General features: G+C 46.7%; 1 protein-coding gene across 2 annotated transcripts in view; it reads right to left on the bottom strand.

Annotated features, from left to right (window-relative positions):
• The window catches only part of ZNF831 (zinc finger protein 831), a 135,726-nt gene that overhangs the window by 113,971 nt on the left and 3,622 nt on the right, over window positions 1–18,133 (bottom strand). The gene's annotated exons all lie outside the window — the stretch shown is intronic.

Here is an 18,133-nt window from a genome sequence, read left to right as displayed (position 1 = left end):
GGTGCCACACATGGTTATCAATGAACATGAGACTGTGGCTGTGGTTCATGAACAGAGCGTGAACCGGACCATCCACAGATAATTTCTCAGAACTGTGGGTCACTGTCAGTACATCTTCCCTCCCACCCCAGCAGGTCTACTCCTCACTGCTCCTGCCCGTGCATGGGGGCAGCCTGTGGCCAGGTAACAGGAACAAGCACTGTGGGACAAATTCACAGGCCCTCCCTGCCCAAGAGCCCTCCAGACAGTCTTCTGGACACTATAAAAATTAAATGAGATGTCCTCTAGGACATGAAACTTAGGAGGCAGAAGAACAGAAGCCTGAAACACATCAACTCCAGAAGACACATTTGCTGAAAAGACGCACTTATGTTGGCAGTGACTCTACCAGGACGAGAGGCAGGGAGGTTGACACAGGGGGTAGGAGAGGAAAGAATGGTGCCTCTGCTGGGTTTGAGGGTTTCTATGAGTCATCAGTGCAGCAACAGAAGAGGCTGACAGACCCTCCACAGCACGCCAACTGTAGGGCCTCGGGCAAGCCCTTCCCGTCACCATCTCCTCATATGAAAATGGGTTAAGTCAACTGTTCTCAACCAACAGTGATTTTTTTTTCCCCTCTGGGGACATTGGGTAATGTCTGAGGACATTTTTAATTGTCATAACTAGGGCAGGGTGCTAGGCCTCTAGCGGGTAGAAGCCAAGGATGCTGCTAAGCACCCTACAATGCCCAGGACGCCTCCACCACAGAGAACTGATCAAGGCTTCCATGTCAGGAGTGCAGAAGGTGAGGAATCCCAGCCTCAGCAACCCCTCCAGCCTCCTTCTTTGGGGCTCAACTGAGACGACACCTGTGAGAATCCTGTGCACATTGAAGGCAGTTATGTTCTACTGTGTGTGGTAAGGAAGCGACTGTCATATCATTTAAATGGCATTTAATTTCTTGTTGGGTGACAAGATGGAAACAGATGGAAAGCAGAGTAAAAACTCTGCTTCAGATGAAAAAAAGAGAAAGCTAGCCTGCCTTAAAAACACTCCAAATTACATGATTTTAAAAAAAAGAAATAGAAAGAAACAAAATGCCTCCTCTTGCTTAAGTACATCAGACAACTTGAACTCTGTGTGAACAGAGTTAAATGGGCACAGAAAAGCTTTAAAAAGCTTGCGAGCACTCAGCGGATAATCACTGGTAATTAGAGCATTTTATAGAATCCATTAAAGTGGCTTTAAACAAAGCTGAAAATTATTTGTTGACCTTCACTCTGAAGGAGGCTAACGGTCATGCTGACAACAGTAATGTGTCCAGCCTGGTTGGGGATTTTCTTTTAAAGAAATCCTTGGCCAGACTTGCAATACAATCCTCAGCACACACTGAATTATTAGAGGCCAAGAAAAGGAGAAAGTGAAGTTAAAGTTCAGACTGATCCTCGGGCCAACCATCCAGCCTTTAAGAAGAAAATCTGGCCATGTTCTGATCAGGAAACCCATCCTCCTCCCCAGAAGGACCCCGAAGGTGCAATTCCAATTCCACAGGCCCAGGACATGGTTTTTTCTTCCACGGCAGAGAAGTCCCAGGTGGGTGAGAGCTCTGAAGAGCCAGGTAGGGCCAGGCCTGCCATGGCTGGAGTGAAGGCAAGGCCCAGCCCAGGAGGGAAGGGAGAGAGGCTTGTGTGAAGAACAAGTACACAGCTCACTGTTCTTCCAATAAGGCTTTCAAGGAAGGGACGACCAGCTAAGTTTCTGACATAGACTCTGAACGGGACTCACACTAGCCAGTTCCATCAGCTACCTCTGGGTATCAGCATGGAGACCAAGCCCAGCCTGTTAGACTCAACTTTCCTGTGTCTTCTCCACCTGCCTACTTACTCACCAGAACAAGCAATGGTTGTGTATTTGAGCACTTTTCTAGGCCCTAGGAGCAAAATGGCAAATAAAAAACAAAAGCAGGGCCAGGTGCAGTGGCTCACACCTGTAATCTAAGCACTTTGGGAGGCCAAGGTGGGAGAATCATTTGAGGCCAGAAGTTGAAGTCCAGCTTGAGCAACAGAGCGAGACCCCATCTCTACAAAAATTAAAAAGTTAGCCAGGTGTGGTAGTGCACATCTGTGGTGCCAGCTACTCTGGAGGCTGTGGCAGGAGGATCCCTTTAGCCTAGGTGGTGGTCGAGGTTGCAGTGAGTTATGATCGTGCCACTGCACTCCAGCCTGGGCAACAGAGTGAGACCGTGGTCTAAAAAAAATAAAAATAAAAAGCACAGTCCCTGACTTCAAGGAGTTCATAGTCAGTTGAGGTTAAAAAGACAAAAATCAAAGAATAATGAAAAATAATCAAATTAATTCAATGGCTGAGAGTTTGAACCTCTACAATGTGCTAGGCACTGAAAATATGAGTAGGCAAATTACTGTCAAAAACCATAATGAAAACAGAAAAGCACTATGAAATTTTTGCTAGAGGCATTCCTCATCAAATGCTGTAAAGCCAAGGCCACCTCTCTTTGTTAAAAGGGATTAGGAAGGACCAGGTGTTAACAACCTATTCCGCTGAGATCACTGGAAAGGGGGTAGCTTGCTGATTCTGTGATGTGTTGTTATTTAATCCCAGGTTCTGCGCACCCTAACGTCATCTTGTGCTCTTCCACGGCTACGAATCCCAAGCTTTGGAAACACTACCTTAAATGTGGGGGTAGGGGGTATTGGGGAAGAAGAGAACACAAACCAGATTCAGGCCTTTCACGGAGGAAAGAAGGCTGTTCAGGACCTAGGACAGCTCCAGTGCCCATTGGCTAGTTTCCCATCCTTCCCAGGCTGCTGGCAGACCAAAGGAAGTACGGCTCCCAGCTCAAGTGCTTCCCACCATGAGGAATCAGTTACTCTTTCCATGGGAGTCTACTGATTCCTTCATGCCTCACTCCTTCATGGCTCTGCTCCTTCATAGCTTCCACCCTATTCCCCCTGCCAACTACTGACTCTCTACTACCCATCACTCAACTGTGTTGAGGGAGGATCTGATTGGTTCACTTAGTCCATATGGAGCCTCACAGTTGGGCAGAGCTTGCCCTCTCGGTCAATACATTAGCCGCAAGCCATCCATAGAGGATTGCTGTGGGGCCACACAGACACCACTAAGCCAGCTCGGAATGAGGCGGCCAAGCCATGTGAGTTTCCCCAGACACGTAGAGCCAGCCGTTCACCACAGAGTGCTCTTCCCAACACAGGGGTGCTGGGAGACGAGGGTCCAGGCCAATCTGGGGGTTCATGGGATCATTTCACAGGGTTCACAGATAGTTTTTTAAACTATAATTGTTATATTTTTATTTTAACTGACTTTGACAGTACAGCTCTAGCTGACATAGCAAACTTATGTGTTTTCCTTTTAAATAAAGTTGTAACCATCAATTTAAAGAAAATCATTAATTTTGTTCTAAAATTTACATGGAAAGGCAAAGGAACTAGAATAGCTCAAGTATTTTGAAAAGGAGAATAAAGTTGGAGGAATCACATTACCTGATTTTAAGACTCACTCTATGGCAACAGTAATCCAGAGAGGGCCATGGTAATGGAGAAAAACACCTAAATCAATAGAACAGAATAAAGATCCCAGAAATAGACCCACACAAATATGCTTGACTGATTTTGACAAAGGTGCAAAAGCAATTTTAACGGAGTAAGGATAATCTTTTCAACAAACGGTGCTGGAGCAAATGGACTCTGTAGGCAAAAATGAAAGAAAGAAAAGAAAAATCTATTCTACACCTCACACCTTATACAAAAAGTAATTCAAAATGGATCATAGATTTACATGTAAAACTATAAAACTTTTAGAGAAAAAAATTGGAGAAAAACTTTGAGACCCAAGATCAAAGTAGACTTCTTAGATGTCACACAAAAAAACACAATCAATAAAAGAAAAAAAATCAATAAATTAGACTTTATTAAAATTAAAAACTGGCTGGGTGCCATGGCTCATGCCTGTAATCCCAACACTTTGGGAGGCCAAGGTGGGCAGATTATTTGAGGTCAGGAGTTCAAGACCAGCCTGGCCAACATGGTGAAACCTCGTCTCTACTAAAAATACAAAAATTAGCCAGGTGTGGTGGTGCGCACCTATAATCCTAGCTACTCGGGAGGCTGAGGCAGAAGAATTGCTTGAACCTGGGAGGAAGAGGTTGCAGTGAGCTGAGATCGTGCCACTGCACTCCAGCCTGGATGACAGAGTGAGATGCCACAATAAATAAATAAATAAAATTTAAAACTATTGCTCTGCAAAAGACCCTGCACAAACCACATATCTGACAAAGGGCCAATATCCAGACAGAATATTATAAAGAACTTTCCAAACTCAATGGTAAATGAAAAAGTAAAACCATGATAAGATATCACTGCACACTTATCAAAATGGCTAAAATTAAAAATGACAACACCAAATGCTGGCAAAGATGTGGAGAAACTGGGTCACCCAGACCCAGTTGCTGATGTGAATGTAAAATGGGACAGTCACTCTGAAAAGTTTGGCAATTTCTATAGTTAAATAAGACGTTAGCATTGGAGGAAACTGGGTGAAAGGTCCCTGGGACCTCTCTGTACTATTTTTGCAACTTCCTGTGGATCTATAATTATCGAAAAATAAAAGACTTCAGAAATGAAGAATATTAATAGTAGTCAGGTGATTTATGAATGCAGAAAAAAATTGTGATGGTGCCTAAGTTCTGTGGTTTACTGTTCCCATGGGGTGGAGGGCCCAGTCTCAACCAGGAGCAGACTCTCTGGCCAGCCTACCTTAGGCACCCAATGGATTTGCTAGAAACAAAACTCTAGCTCTTCTCCAGTCCAGGTATCTGGTCAAATTTAAAATCACGGTAGCCTCTGAGTCCAAATGAGCCAGCTTTCTAAATGGCCAGAGGCCTTGTTAAACTCAACTAAAATTGAACTGAATGACACAGCAGATGTCTTTGTGATAAGGGCAGTCTCTGAAAGAAATACCACATTTCATCACCTCTGAGAAACACAATTGCAAGAAGCACCATTATTTTTTGTTCCCCTGTGAAAGAAAAATACACTGCCAATTAAACCATGACACAATGCATTCTTATCATTTAGAATTTTTAATTTTACTTATTGTAAGAGTTCTTTGAGACTTAATTAGACAGATTTTTATCACATATTACTATTGTGCATACATAAAAATGAAAATACAAGTGAAATAACTTGGTTGTTATTCCTCAAACTACTTTACACTGAGTCCAATTCTTCTGAATCACTGTTCAATTCAGACTCATCAATGTTTGGGGTTTTTCCATGCTCTATCATCCTCTGTGCATTCATCCACGAGCACTGATTATACGGCATTTCTTCAAAGAATCCATAAAAAGATTGAAAGTCAAGAGTGCTGGGCTTTGAGGACTCTTTAAAATTATATACAGTTTTTCTGCTTCGGTTCTGACTTCAGCAATGTCACTAAACATATTTGACTTGCTCCAGTCCTCCAGTCTGTCCCCACATCCATGACATTCATAGGGGTTAAAAGAGGGCTCCATTGTCCAATCTCGGATTCTTTTCCAGTGCACTGATGCTGGTCAGTTGAGTATTAGTTACATGTGTTCACTGGTCATTTGGTTGTTCACACCTGCACAGGTAATTCACCTGTGTCATGGCCTGAATAGCACACTGTGGACTCTAAGAGCCATCCTGATTTCAGAAAAGCAATCATGTTAAAAACTTTAGGGGGGCTGGGTGGAGTAAAAACAGAAAAACAGAAACAAGAATGGAAAATAAAAATTATTTTTATTTCAAGTTTCCATCTCAGAGATAATGAAATACAGTAAGTGGACTGTATTTATAGATATAAATAAATGCCCTTCAACAGGTAAATGATTAAATAAACCATAGTACATCCACACCATAGAAATACTATTCAACAATAAAAAGGAAGGAACCACTGTTATACCCAGCAAGTTGGATGAACCTCAAGGCCTAAGCAGAAAATAACAGTCCCGCACACTGTATGATTCAACGTATAACATTCTCCAAATGACAAAATTACAGAGATAGAGAAACACTTTATTTATAAATTGTCACGTTATTTATAAATGTAAATAAAATAATGTCAGAAGGCAGTAACCGCTGTCAAAAAAAAAAGAGAAGGAAACAGAATTGAAAGTGGCTCTGGGGAAATGGACGGAGAGGACCTCTCTGAGGAGGGGATTTGCGAACAGTCTGAAAAATAAGAGAGTAAAGATCAAGGAAAAATCCAAGGGAACATCCACTGGCTGTGTCCATCAGGGCCAGTTAGATCATGCTGCAGAATCAAGCCACTCCAAGTCCCAGTGGCCTAAAACAATAAACGTTTGTTTCTGCTTTATACTTCAGGTCCATAAGCAGGTAACTTCAAGACCCCAGATTGATGGAGAAGCTGCTGTCTGGACAATCTCCAGTTGCCATGGCAAAGGAAAAGAAAAGGTGTAACTTCCACAGGGTTCTAAAAGCTTTTGCCCAGAAATGGCACGTGTCCCTCTGCCCACATCGCCTTAGTTACTAGGGAGACCTAACTTTGAGGGGGTGTGGGAATGGAGCATAATCTATTATGTGCTTGTGAGAAAAACCAAAAATATTTGTTGAACAACAGTAACAATGACCTCACAGGCAGAGCAGAGAGCAAGCAAGAGTGCAGTGAGGTGCAAACAAGCACAGTGATCAGGGGACGGGGGCCAGCGAGACTGAAGGATGGCAGAAGAGACTAGTGGCAGGGGAAGACAGCACCATAAAACATGGGGAGCCACTCAGCACCCTGAAAGTGAGGAGCCTGTCAGCACCATGGAAAGCGGGGAGACCCATCCTAAAGCCCAGTCATGCCCCAGAAGCCACAGCTTCATCCTGATTATGACCTCAAACGCCTGCAGACAGAATTAAACAACTAATTGTATAATGAGGTGGTTGAATTACACCTAATTTCCACAAATGTTTTTGTTGAACAAACATTGCAATGCCAGAATGTGGTTTTCAATCATTTAATTAGTCTTCCAAAATGCTCCAAAATCGGTGTTAATCACAGTTTTAAAATAATACATCTAATGTGTCCCTAAATACATTACTGTGTCTCAGCATTAATCCTGCAATTAAATATGTCAAGTAATTCATACACATTTAACACCTGGTGTTTGGGATTTGGGAAATAATGCATTTCTGAAAGCAGGTAACCAATGCATGAAGTCCAAAGGAACTTAGCAATTTTCTCTGGGATAGCAAGTGAGGAAGGGGCCACAGTCTTGGAATTGGGGGGTGGGTGCAGAAATGACACAGGAATTGAAATGAAGGGCTTAGGATGTGACACAGGGTCAGAGTAGGCCTATCTTAGAATAACACAGCTGTGCCCCAGGGAACACATGGGCACTGCCAGGTCCCTCCACCCAGTGCTGGTTGCTATAAATGCTCTGCTGGCACCACTCCCACCTGCCTGGAGCTTCTGCCAGGATGTGGCCATGTTCATGATACTGCCATAAACCAAAGGTTAAAAACTGCAGGTTGACTCTGGCTTTGCAACTTCCATTCCACACAAGAATCCCTAACCCTGTGTCAGCTCAACTTCTACGGAATTAAAGGAAACTCTTCCAGGGGCAGAGAGCTGATGCAGACTCCAGCTTTGATAACCCCATAAAGTTTGAGCCACCAAGAGAACCTAAAAAGGTCTGAGTTTGAAGTTGACCACCTCTGAGGACCCAGAGATGTCAAGTAACATCTTGGCACTCCCTGTTCTCCAACCTGACATCATTGGTGAACAGAAATAGAGACTGATTACACAAAATGTAGTGAGAAAGGCAAGGTATTTTTCATCTTGTATACAGCGCTTCATTGATCACAAAAAAAAAAAAAAGATGTATTGGAAGCATATTAAAGGCATATTAGTGCATATAACTTCTAAAAAATCTGGATTTTGCCTGTCTTGGGATGAAAGTTTGGGTTTTGTAATAGAGACCCCAAATAACAGTGGCTTAAGCAAGATGAATGTTTATTTTTCTTCTGTATAATAATCACAACACAGACAGTCCAGAGGTGGGTGATGGATCCACAAAGTCAAAGACCCAGGCTCCTTCTAACTGGTTGCTCTTTCTCCCTAACAAATGCCCTTGCCCACATAGTCCAAGGTGCTTCACCAGCTTATTCCAGGAGGAACAAAGGGGTGGAAGGTGGATGCACCCCTTCCCTTTAAGGTTGGGACATGAAAACTGCATAACTCTTTCCTGATCACAGCTCTTTCACCAGAATTTAGTCATCAGGCCATCCCTAGCTGCAAGAGAAGGTAGAAAGTTTTATTTCTATTCCGGGTAACCACGTGCCCAGATAAAACCTGGGGGATCTGTTGCTATGAGATAGAAAGGAAAAAAGATTTTGGGGGACAACTTGTAGCCTCTGCTATGTTGCCTTACAGAAATCTGGAGTCTGGTGAGGAAGAAAAGAATATGGCCAAATTCCAACATTTTATCCTAGAATGAGCCAAATATCAGGATGAAAGCTCAGAGGAGGGGGGAGGTTTTGGACTGCAATCAAGAGGGAGCTACAGTATCTACCGCAAAGGATCATGGCAGGTTTAAACATGAACATGCAGGTGCAGCAACAGTTGGGTGTCAGAGGGTATCTTGAGCTCCAGGATCTCAGGACAGAGCTGGTGTCCTGTCCCACCATTTACTTTCTGGGTAATGTGGAAGGCAGAATTCTAACCACATCCCCTGGTTATTCAATCAAACTTTAATCTAGGTACCGCTGCAAAAGGACTTTGCAGATGGAATTAAGGTTACAAATTAGCTCACTTTAAGATAGGAAAAATACTCTCAATTATAAAGTTGGGGCTGAAGTAATCACATGAACCCTTAAAAGCAGAAGAGAAAGGCAGGGCAATGAAGCAGCAGCAGAGGGTAGGAGATGAGGCAGGAGGGGAAGGAAGAGAGACTCGAAGCATGAGAAGGACTTGACAGCCTATGCTGGCCTTGAAGGGGGCCATGAGCCAAGGAATGAGGCAGCCTCTAGACCTTGACAATGTATTCAGTCCACAGTTAGTAAGAAAACAGGGACCTCAGTCCCCCAACCACGTGGAATTCAATTCTGATGACAAGCTGAATAAGCTTGGAAGTGGATTCTTCCCCAGGGCTTCCAGTAAGGAACACAGCCTACTGACTTTTTTTGAGACAGGGTCTTGCTCCGTTGCCCAAGCTGAAGTGCAGTGGTGCCATCATGGATCACTGCAGCCTCAAATTCCTGGGTTCAAGCAATCCTCCCACCTCAGCCTCCCAAGTATTGGGTTGGTGCAAAAGTAACTGTGGCCACTGAAAGTCATGGCAAAAACCGCAATTACTTTTGCACCAACCTAATAACTGGGATCACAGGCATGCACCATCATGCCTGGATTATTATTATTATTTTTTTTTGAGATGGAGTCTCGCTCTGTCACCCAGGCTGGAGTGCAGTGGCACAGTCTCGGCTCACTGCCAGCTCCGCCCCCCGGGTTCACACCATTCTCCTGCCTCAGCCTCCTGAGTAGCTGGGACTACAGGCACCCGCCACCACGCCTGGCTAATTTTTTGTATTTTTAGTAGAGACAGGGTTTCATCACGTTAGCCAGGATGGTCTCGATCTCTTGACCTCATGATCTGCCCGCCTCGGCCTCCCAAAGTGCTGGGATTACAGGCGTGAGCCACTGCGCCCAGCTGCCTGGATTTTTTTTTTATTATTTTGTGTAGAGATGGAGGCTTACTATGTTGCCAAGGCTGATCTCAAACTGCTGGGCTCAAGTGATCCTCCCAATCTCGCCTCCAAAGTGCTGGGATTCCAGGCATGAGTTGCCACACCCAGCTCTGCCAACTTCTTGATTTTACCTTTGTAAGACTCAGAGCAGGGAACCAGCTGAGACATGCTATTCCTGGACCTCTGACAAACAGATTGTGAGATAATAAATGGGTGTTGCTTCAAGCTGCTAAATTTGTAGTAATTTTCTACAGCAACAGTAGAACATGAGCCCAGTGATCTTGTGTGAGTCCCTTCTCTGTGGCTTATTTTCCTTATGGGTCAACAAGAATAATAATAGTCGTTATTCCTTAGAGCTACCGAGAGGCTGAAAGAGGACTGCTGGGGTAGCTGGTGTAGAGGAACCAGTAATCAATGTTCCTGCTGCCATGCAGATGGTTTTTTTTCCATCTTGGAGGGGAAGGGGCCAGTGGAGGTGGATACCTGTCATGCATGGTATTCCTCAATCCTCACCACAACCCTCTAAGCCAGGTGCTTTCATTAGTCTCATTTATAAGAGGAACCTGAGGCACAAAGAGATCGAATGACTTCCCCAAGATTGTACGGTTAGTAAGAAGCAAAGTTGAGATTCCACCCCAACCCATGTGGCTCCAGGGCTCTGTGAGGAAGACTACAGACGCTCCCATCCCAGATGAGCACAGAGAGGTTGGGAACAGAAGGACCACGCAGCCAGTCTATGGGGAGCCAAGCATGTGAGAACAGTGTCTTGAGCCAAGACGACAATAAACACATGCCTTCTGGCTTGGCCCATGGTGGGACCGCTGGGTTTCTCTTGTCCTTCTCAGGTCTCTGAGAGGTCCAGTATCTCACCTGTAGCTTCTCAGAGTAGACTAAAGAGAAAGCCCACAGTTTCCATCTGCTTAAAGGTCAAGAGAGAAAAGCGGATAAAGAAAGACCCATGCAGCTGTTTTCCCTTCAGTCTCCTTGTTCCTCATTTATTCAGCAATCAATGACGTTCTACATGTCAGGCACTGTCCTTGGTGCTGGGTGACAGTGATGAGCAGGATGGCACAGTCCCCATAAGGAAATACAGACAAGAGACAAGAAAATAACCGAACAAGGACACAAGATCACCGTGGATAGAGGGACTGCTTTGGGCCTGGGTTCTGCTACTTCGAGTCCTCTTTGGTAGGGAGGGAGAGCAGGAGGGGAGCAGGGGATCTGCTGGCTGCTACAGCCACTGCTTTCTGTCCACCATTCAGCAAGATTCTGGGCATGATAGTCCACATTAGAGGGTTCTGGGGTGGTCCTCAATGCCACTGAGAAGCCAGCAGGAAGCTGACCCAGAAACATGCCCAAGACATCTGCTGGGAACCAAGGAGGAGCATCTGAGCTGTGAGGTGTTCCCATATCAGGGCCCCAAAGAGCAGCAGCCCCACCATGGGCCAAGCCCAGAAGGCATGTGCTTATCATCGTCTTATCCCACGGCACTGCTGACCAGTGACCTGCACTTGATGGCAATGATGCGCTCTTCTCTGGGACCTGAGAGTGAGCAGCATGGAAGTCAAGTAGGGCCTAAAGGAGCAGAGAGCCAGGGGGAGGCATGCACTCTTGCTCCAGGGCTCGTCCTTGCCGCTGAGCTGCCTCCCTTCTCTGAGTGTCTGTTTCCAAGCTGGAAAATGACAGAATGCAGGGAGATGAGCTCTTGAGTCTCTGACCCCTGGACTCCAGCATGTGCTTCTTCCTCACTTGGTCAACCAGCCTTTATCTGCTGCTTGTTGTGTCCCCAGCCCTACACCCATAACCCAAAATCCATGCTTTCTATTCCCTTTTCCTCCTTGGCAACTGTCAAATTGAGGCACACACGGGGCCACTTGTTCTGCCCATGGGCAGGGCCATCTGGTTCTGCATGGAGATGCCTATGGACAGACCTGCATTCATATACATTGCTTTAAATTATCACAAAAATTGAGTTTGGATAAGAACTTGACGGGGGAGGTGTGTTTTCCTACTGGAAAAACAAGCATAGCAACTGCCCAAAGTGATCCTATGGACGTCATGCAGGACCAGAGCATAGCAACTGCCCAAAGTGATCCTACGGACGTCATGCAGGACCAGAGCATAGCAACTGCCCAAAGTGATCCTATGGACGTCATGCAGGACCGGAGCATAGCAACTGCCCAAAGTGATCCTACGGACGTCATGCAGGACCGGAGCATAGCAACTGCCCAAAGTGATCCTACGGACGTCATGCAGGACCGGAGCATAGCAACTGCCCAAAGTGATCCTACGGACGTCATGCAGGACCAGAGCATAGCAACTGCCCAAAGTGATCCTACGGACGTCATGCAGGACCGGAGCATAGCAACTGCCCAAAGTGATCCTACGGACGTCATGCAGGACCGGAGCATAGCAACTGCCCAAAGTGATCCTACGGACGTCATGCAGGACCAGAGGTTGAACATACCCTAACAGGTCAGTTGAGAAGCTTCCAGCTGTGGTCAGCAGTGTAATGGGCCACTGTCAGGCCTTGGGAGCCTCAGCAGAGTGGAGCCTCAGCCCAGCTGGCTCTTGGCACAGCTCACCCGGGCCAGCAAGGCTGGAGAAGCGGCCTTCAGCCCTGACCAGCTCACCTTCTTCCAGCTGAGGGGTGCTTGAGATGAAGTTGAAAGTTTGCTGAGGATTCAAGTTAATTCACCAGTGTAGCAATCTGGTGATTACAAAAAAGTATGAAAAAGACAAGGTGCCCAATTGAAAAAAAAATAGGCAAAGACATTTCCAGAAGCCATGCCAATGTCCAAGGAGCCTATGAAGAGATACTTCACCTCTCTGATCATCAAAAGAAAAGCAGGTGAAGATGAGATGTCATTTTTTATCCACCAGACTGAGAAGAAGGTGAGATATTGCCAAAGCTGGGCTTGGCAAGGCTGCAGGGAAGAGGCCTCCTCCAGCCCTGTTGATGGGCATGTGAAATAGTAAACTTTCTGGAGACCAGCTTGGCAATATGGGCACAGCGATTAATCGTCTAGAAAATTTTTCCTGACAACATAATCAAACACATTCACTATAGGCATATACAAGACAGTTTACTGAAGTCAGACAATGGCCAAAAAAAAAAAAAAAAAGAGTTAAACCTCCAACAAGAAGAAACTTGAGCAACTAAATTATGGGACATCGCTGAAATGCAAGGCAGTCATTTAAAATGCTGATAGAATGCTACAGTTTTTATTTTTTAACTCACAAAGATGACTCTATCATATTATTGTGCAGAAAAAAAACAGCAAGTTACAGAACAGCACAGGACAATGTTCCCACTTGTGTGAAATTTCTCATACAATGGGGTGTATGTGTGCTGTGCACAGTGAGACACCAAAGAAGAGGCATCCAGAATGTTACCCCTATGTGGAGAGAACTGGAGGGATTTTAATTTTTATCTTTATGCTTTCCTGTGTGCTTTGAATTCTTTACAGTGATCATGTACCATTTTTATAATGAAAAAAAGTACAATGAAAACAGTTTTCATTTTAAGAAGAAAAGAGCAATTTAATGAGGCACAAAGAATGCCAGCACTCTAAAGACCTGGCCATGCCTGGATGGATAGAGATAAATCTGTCTCACGCCCTGGAGACAAGGGCTCACAAGGCGGTCCCTGCCATGCCTGCAGGTGCTGCTTCACACCTCCCTGGGGCTGTACCCATCACCCACTCAATCCCTTACTCCCTTAAAAATGTGCCAAGGAGCAGGCCTCCTTGCTCTAGCCCAGGCCACTCCTTAAGGATCCCGGTGCTCAGAGGGACACCTGCACGGGGCTGGGGTCTGTAGAGTGGAAGACAAACGGGAAAGGACCACCATGGGGTGCAGGGCAGAGTAGGCAGCAAGAAACCCCTCGAGGCCAAGACTTCTGGAGCCAGACACACTGGCATGTATCAGTAAGTAAGGAATTCCACCTCCCCTCTGTCAAGTCAGAGGTGATGACACCCACCATGAGAAGCTCTCCCAAGGACCCCCTGAGCTGACACACATGAAGGCTATCACACCTGGACCAGGACCCTGGCTTTAGTGCGGGAGCTGACTATTAGTAGGAATCCTTTATTAGGAGTGTGGTTCCTGTCCTCCGAGGACATCAGAATGTGAGCTGGAGATGAACGTGAAGTACAGAAATGGTGACTTGGGTACTGATGACCACAAAGCTGTTTTCAAACATATGAAAGGAAGGGGCAGAGAGGACGCCTTTTCCAACTCCAGACCAAGAAGTGGTCCCAAGACCCAAGATGGATGCTGGAAGGTTAATGCTGGGAGTCTAGCATTTCCTTCAACCTTGCCCACAAAAGAGTGTTTCAAAGGGAGATGGATTCAGACACATCTCATGTTTACTGAGCGAGACACATCTCATGTTTACTGAGCACCTACCATGCACCACATGCTTCCACGCCCATTTACTCAGGCCTCACAACCAGCTGTGATAAGAGGATTACTAGCCCTCCTTTCAGATGAGGAAACAGGGGCTCACAGAGCTCAGCCATTGTCAAAGTCCCACTGGCAGAAAGTGTCAGGGCCAAGCGCCCCACCCAGACACTAGGTTCCTGAGTCCTGAAAGCAGAGGCTAGAAAACTGTCCCCAACTCCCAGACCTCCCACCCAAGAACCATTCAGAATATCCATTAAACACCAAAGGCACAGATGTGTCCATACCCAGGGTGAGTTTGGGGCATTTTTCATCTCTGGGACTCAAATTTGGATTAATCACATTACCAGCAGCTTCCAACATCACCATCAAGCGCCACCAGACAGAGCACCTTGCCTTTCCAAAGTGCCTTTGGCGTTTAGAAGCCCCAAGGTGCACCCACATCCACAGGACATGTTCACACAGCCTGTCTTGCTCATTAGGAGGGGAGGGAAGCCAAACGCCTCAAACTTCTTTTTCTGGGCCTCGCCCCAGCAATGTGTAGGGTGAAGAGAGAACCATCAGGTGTCTGTTTGCTCAGAGTGCCAGGCCGGATGCCAGCAGTTCAGTGCACCCTGGAAACTTAGGGGCCCTTTCACACTTTGCAAACCCTCACACCTTCCAATGGCTACGACAGTTCACATCTTGCTGGAAAAACACAGGGAGAAAAGGAACACGATGCTGAAGCCAGTAATGTGCTTCCAGGCCCGGCTTAAATGCTATGCCTCTCACGACACCCACCCAAGAGAACCTTCTCTCCTCCAAGCATATTAATGGCCCTGTCTCTTTAATAACAGCAAATGTTGGTCAGCTTCTTACCAAGTGCCAGGCCCTTCCTAGCTCCCTGAATCCCATCGTCAAGGCTGTGTGGGAAGTACTGTTCTTATGCCCATCTTACAAATGAGGAAACCAAGGCCAGGTGGTTCATTTCTGCTCTAACCACACCCAACCCAAGGGCTGCTGGCTCTGGTCCAACGTCCATCAGGAATCCTGAAGTCTGCATATGGTCTGAGTCTAGTTAATAGGATAAATGGTATAAATGTCCTTCAACAGGTGGATAGGTAAGCCCCCCATGGAGTTCTACTCAGCCAGAAGGAGGAACGAGCATGGGATGCACCAATAACATACAGGAATCTCAGGGACTTTGTGCTGAGTGAAATGAAAAAGGCCAATCCTGCACACCGTGTGAGTCAATGTATAGCATTCTCCAAATGACGAAATTACAGAGGTGGAGAACCAATGAGTGCTGGCCAGAGGTTAGGGAGGTGGGCTACGACCATGAAGGGGCCACACAGGCAGCAACTTCACGGGGCTACACAGTTCTGTGTTGTTTGTTTGTTTGTCTGTTTGAGCCAGAGACTCACTCTGTCACCCAGGCTGGAGTGCAGTGGCGTGATCTCGGCTCACTGCAACTTCTGCCTCCCGGATTCAAGCAATTCTCCTGCCTCAGCCTCCTGAGTAGCTAGGATTACAGGCGCCCGCCACCACATTCTGCTAATTTTTATATTTTTAGTAGAGGGTTTCATCATGTTGGCCAGGCTGGTCTCAAACTCCTGACCTCAGGTGATCCACCCGCCTCAGCCTCCCAAAGTGCTGGGATTATAGGCGTGAGCCACCACACCAGGCCCAGTTCTGTGTCTTGTTAGCGTTGGGGGTTCCATGCATCTACACAGGTGATAAAACGGCACAGAACTAGATACACACACACAACACACACATACACACATGCACATGCACACACATACATACACAACATACACACACACAAATGCATGCAAAAACTGATGACAGCTGAATAAGGCACTGTGCTTCCATAAGGTGCTATCAGTAGAAGAGAGGTGTAGGAACCACGGGAAAACTCTGCACCACGTTTGTAACTTCCTGTGAGTCTAAAATTATTTCAAAATAGGCCAGGCACGGTGGCTCATGCCTATAATCCCAGCACTTTGGGAGGCCAAGGCTGGCGGATCACCTGAGGTCAGGAGTTCGAGACTAGCCTGGCCAACAACGGGTGAAACCCCGTCTCTACCAAAAATACAAAAATTAGCCAGGTGTGGTGGCGGGCGCCTATAATACCAGCTACTCAGGAGGCTGAGGCAGGAGAATAGCTTGAACCCGGGAGGTGGAGGTTGCAGTGAGCCAAGATTGCACCACTGCACTCCAGCCTGGGGGACAGAGCGAGACTCCATCTCAAATAAATAAATAAATAATTTCAAAATAAAAAGTGTTTTAAAGTACATCCATTTCTTACCACTTCCCCGGCCTGAGCCACCACCACCTCTGACCTGGTCACACTGCCTCTGCCATCCCCAGCCCCCCAACAAGTGGCTACCATCTCATGGAGAATAAAGGCCAGGTGCATCCCCCTAGCTGGCAAGGGCCAACGTGGTCTGCCCACCAGCCAGCTCACACTGCGGCTCTGTCTCAGCCACTCCTCTCTGCCATGCTGCCTCCTGGACCATCCTCCATCTGGGCACTGTCCCCCAGGTCTCCTGTGGCCACCTCCTCCTATTCCTTCAGGGCTCAATTCAGATGCTACCTCTTCAGAGAGGCCTTCCCTGGCCAGTCATCTAGGGGTCCCTTCTAGGAATGACTGGGGAGGGACAGCAGGGAAGACAGATGGAAGAGGAAGTGTTCCATACCCTTGCAGGGACAGGAGTATGCACGCTGGCCACTGCTCATCAAAGTAAACACCTGGTCTGTACATTTTACCATATGTAATTATACCTGATTTTTTAAAAAACACCTAATTAGTATCCCTCCTCACTGTGACTATTGCATTACCCTATTTATTTTCTTTGTGGCATTTGTCACAATCTGTGATCATCTTTTCATTTATGTGCTTACATAAATGAAAATTTACATAAATGTCTGCTTCTGGATGCAGACCACACCCCACATGTGTGGGCACGCACATGTGCTGCACACGCACGGTTGCAAACGCCTCACACTGGGCCACGGCCCCCAGGATAGGCAGCCCAGCATCCAGCCAGTGCCAGGCTGGCTACAGCGAAGGAGTGTCTCCTAGGCTTGGCACACCATATGGGCACTGCCCTGAGAGCTCACCAGGGAAGAATGGAAGGCTCCACTCTGCATCCTCTCCAAAGTCCTCCTCTTTTGTCTAGGCCAGAAAAGTTCAGCCCAAATTCAGAAAAGTTCCACGGGCAGGCATACTTGCTCATTTGAGAAATGCTTCCTGGGGGTGGAGGGTGCTACAGGAACCAAAACAACCCAGGCCCTGCCCTTGAAGCTCCTCCATTCCAGAAGGAGTCACAGGCAGGAAACACATAAATATCTCACAGGCAAGGTGGCAAAACCATCACGCTGGAAAATAAAGTAGGAGACCTTTGAGTAGAGATCAAATAAAGTAGGAGTGAGCCCGTCGGAGGGAAACCAGTCATGGAAATCGAGGAAAGCACGTGTCAACCATCTGGGCTGAAACACGCATTTGTGGCAATGGAGGAAGAGCAGGGAGCCCCGTGGGGCTGGCTGGGAACAGGAAGGTGCAGGCCCTCGAGGCCACGGGAAGGACGTGGGACTTTACCCCAAGTGAGAGGGAGGCCATAGGAAGATCTGACCAGAGAGCAGCATGACCTGACTGAGGTTTTCACAGGATCCCACGGATTACCTGGCAAAGAAAAGCCTCTAGGGTGAGATGACAGGGCCGGGGAGCCATGAGAAGTGGATGGTCTATGATCAGGGGAAATGGAATGGTGACGTGGACTCAAGAGACAGTGATGGAGGTGCGACAAATGGCCAGATTCAGACTATGCTTCAAAGGCAGGCCCAAGGGGACTTGCTGGTGGATTAGATGTAAGGTGTGAGACAGAGAAAGGATCCTCCGAGAGTTTTGCCCGGGGCCCAAGGAAGAATGGAGTTGAAATTTACCCAAGAAGCAAACCTCCTGGGATGAACCCCTTCAGACGAGAAGTCATGAGGTAGGTAGGGGCAGTGGGGCAGTG

Source organism: Homo sapiens, chromosome 20 (assembly GCF_000001405.40).
Source record: "Homo sapiens chromosome 20, GRCh38.p14 Primary Assembly".
Classification (NCBI taxonomy): domain Eukaryota; kingdom Metazoa; phylum Chordata; class Mammalia; order Primates; family Hominidae; genus Homo; species Homo sapiens.
Note: the sequence above shows the minus strand (reverse complement) of the source record. Positions and strands in the feature narration are given on the sequence as shown.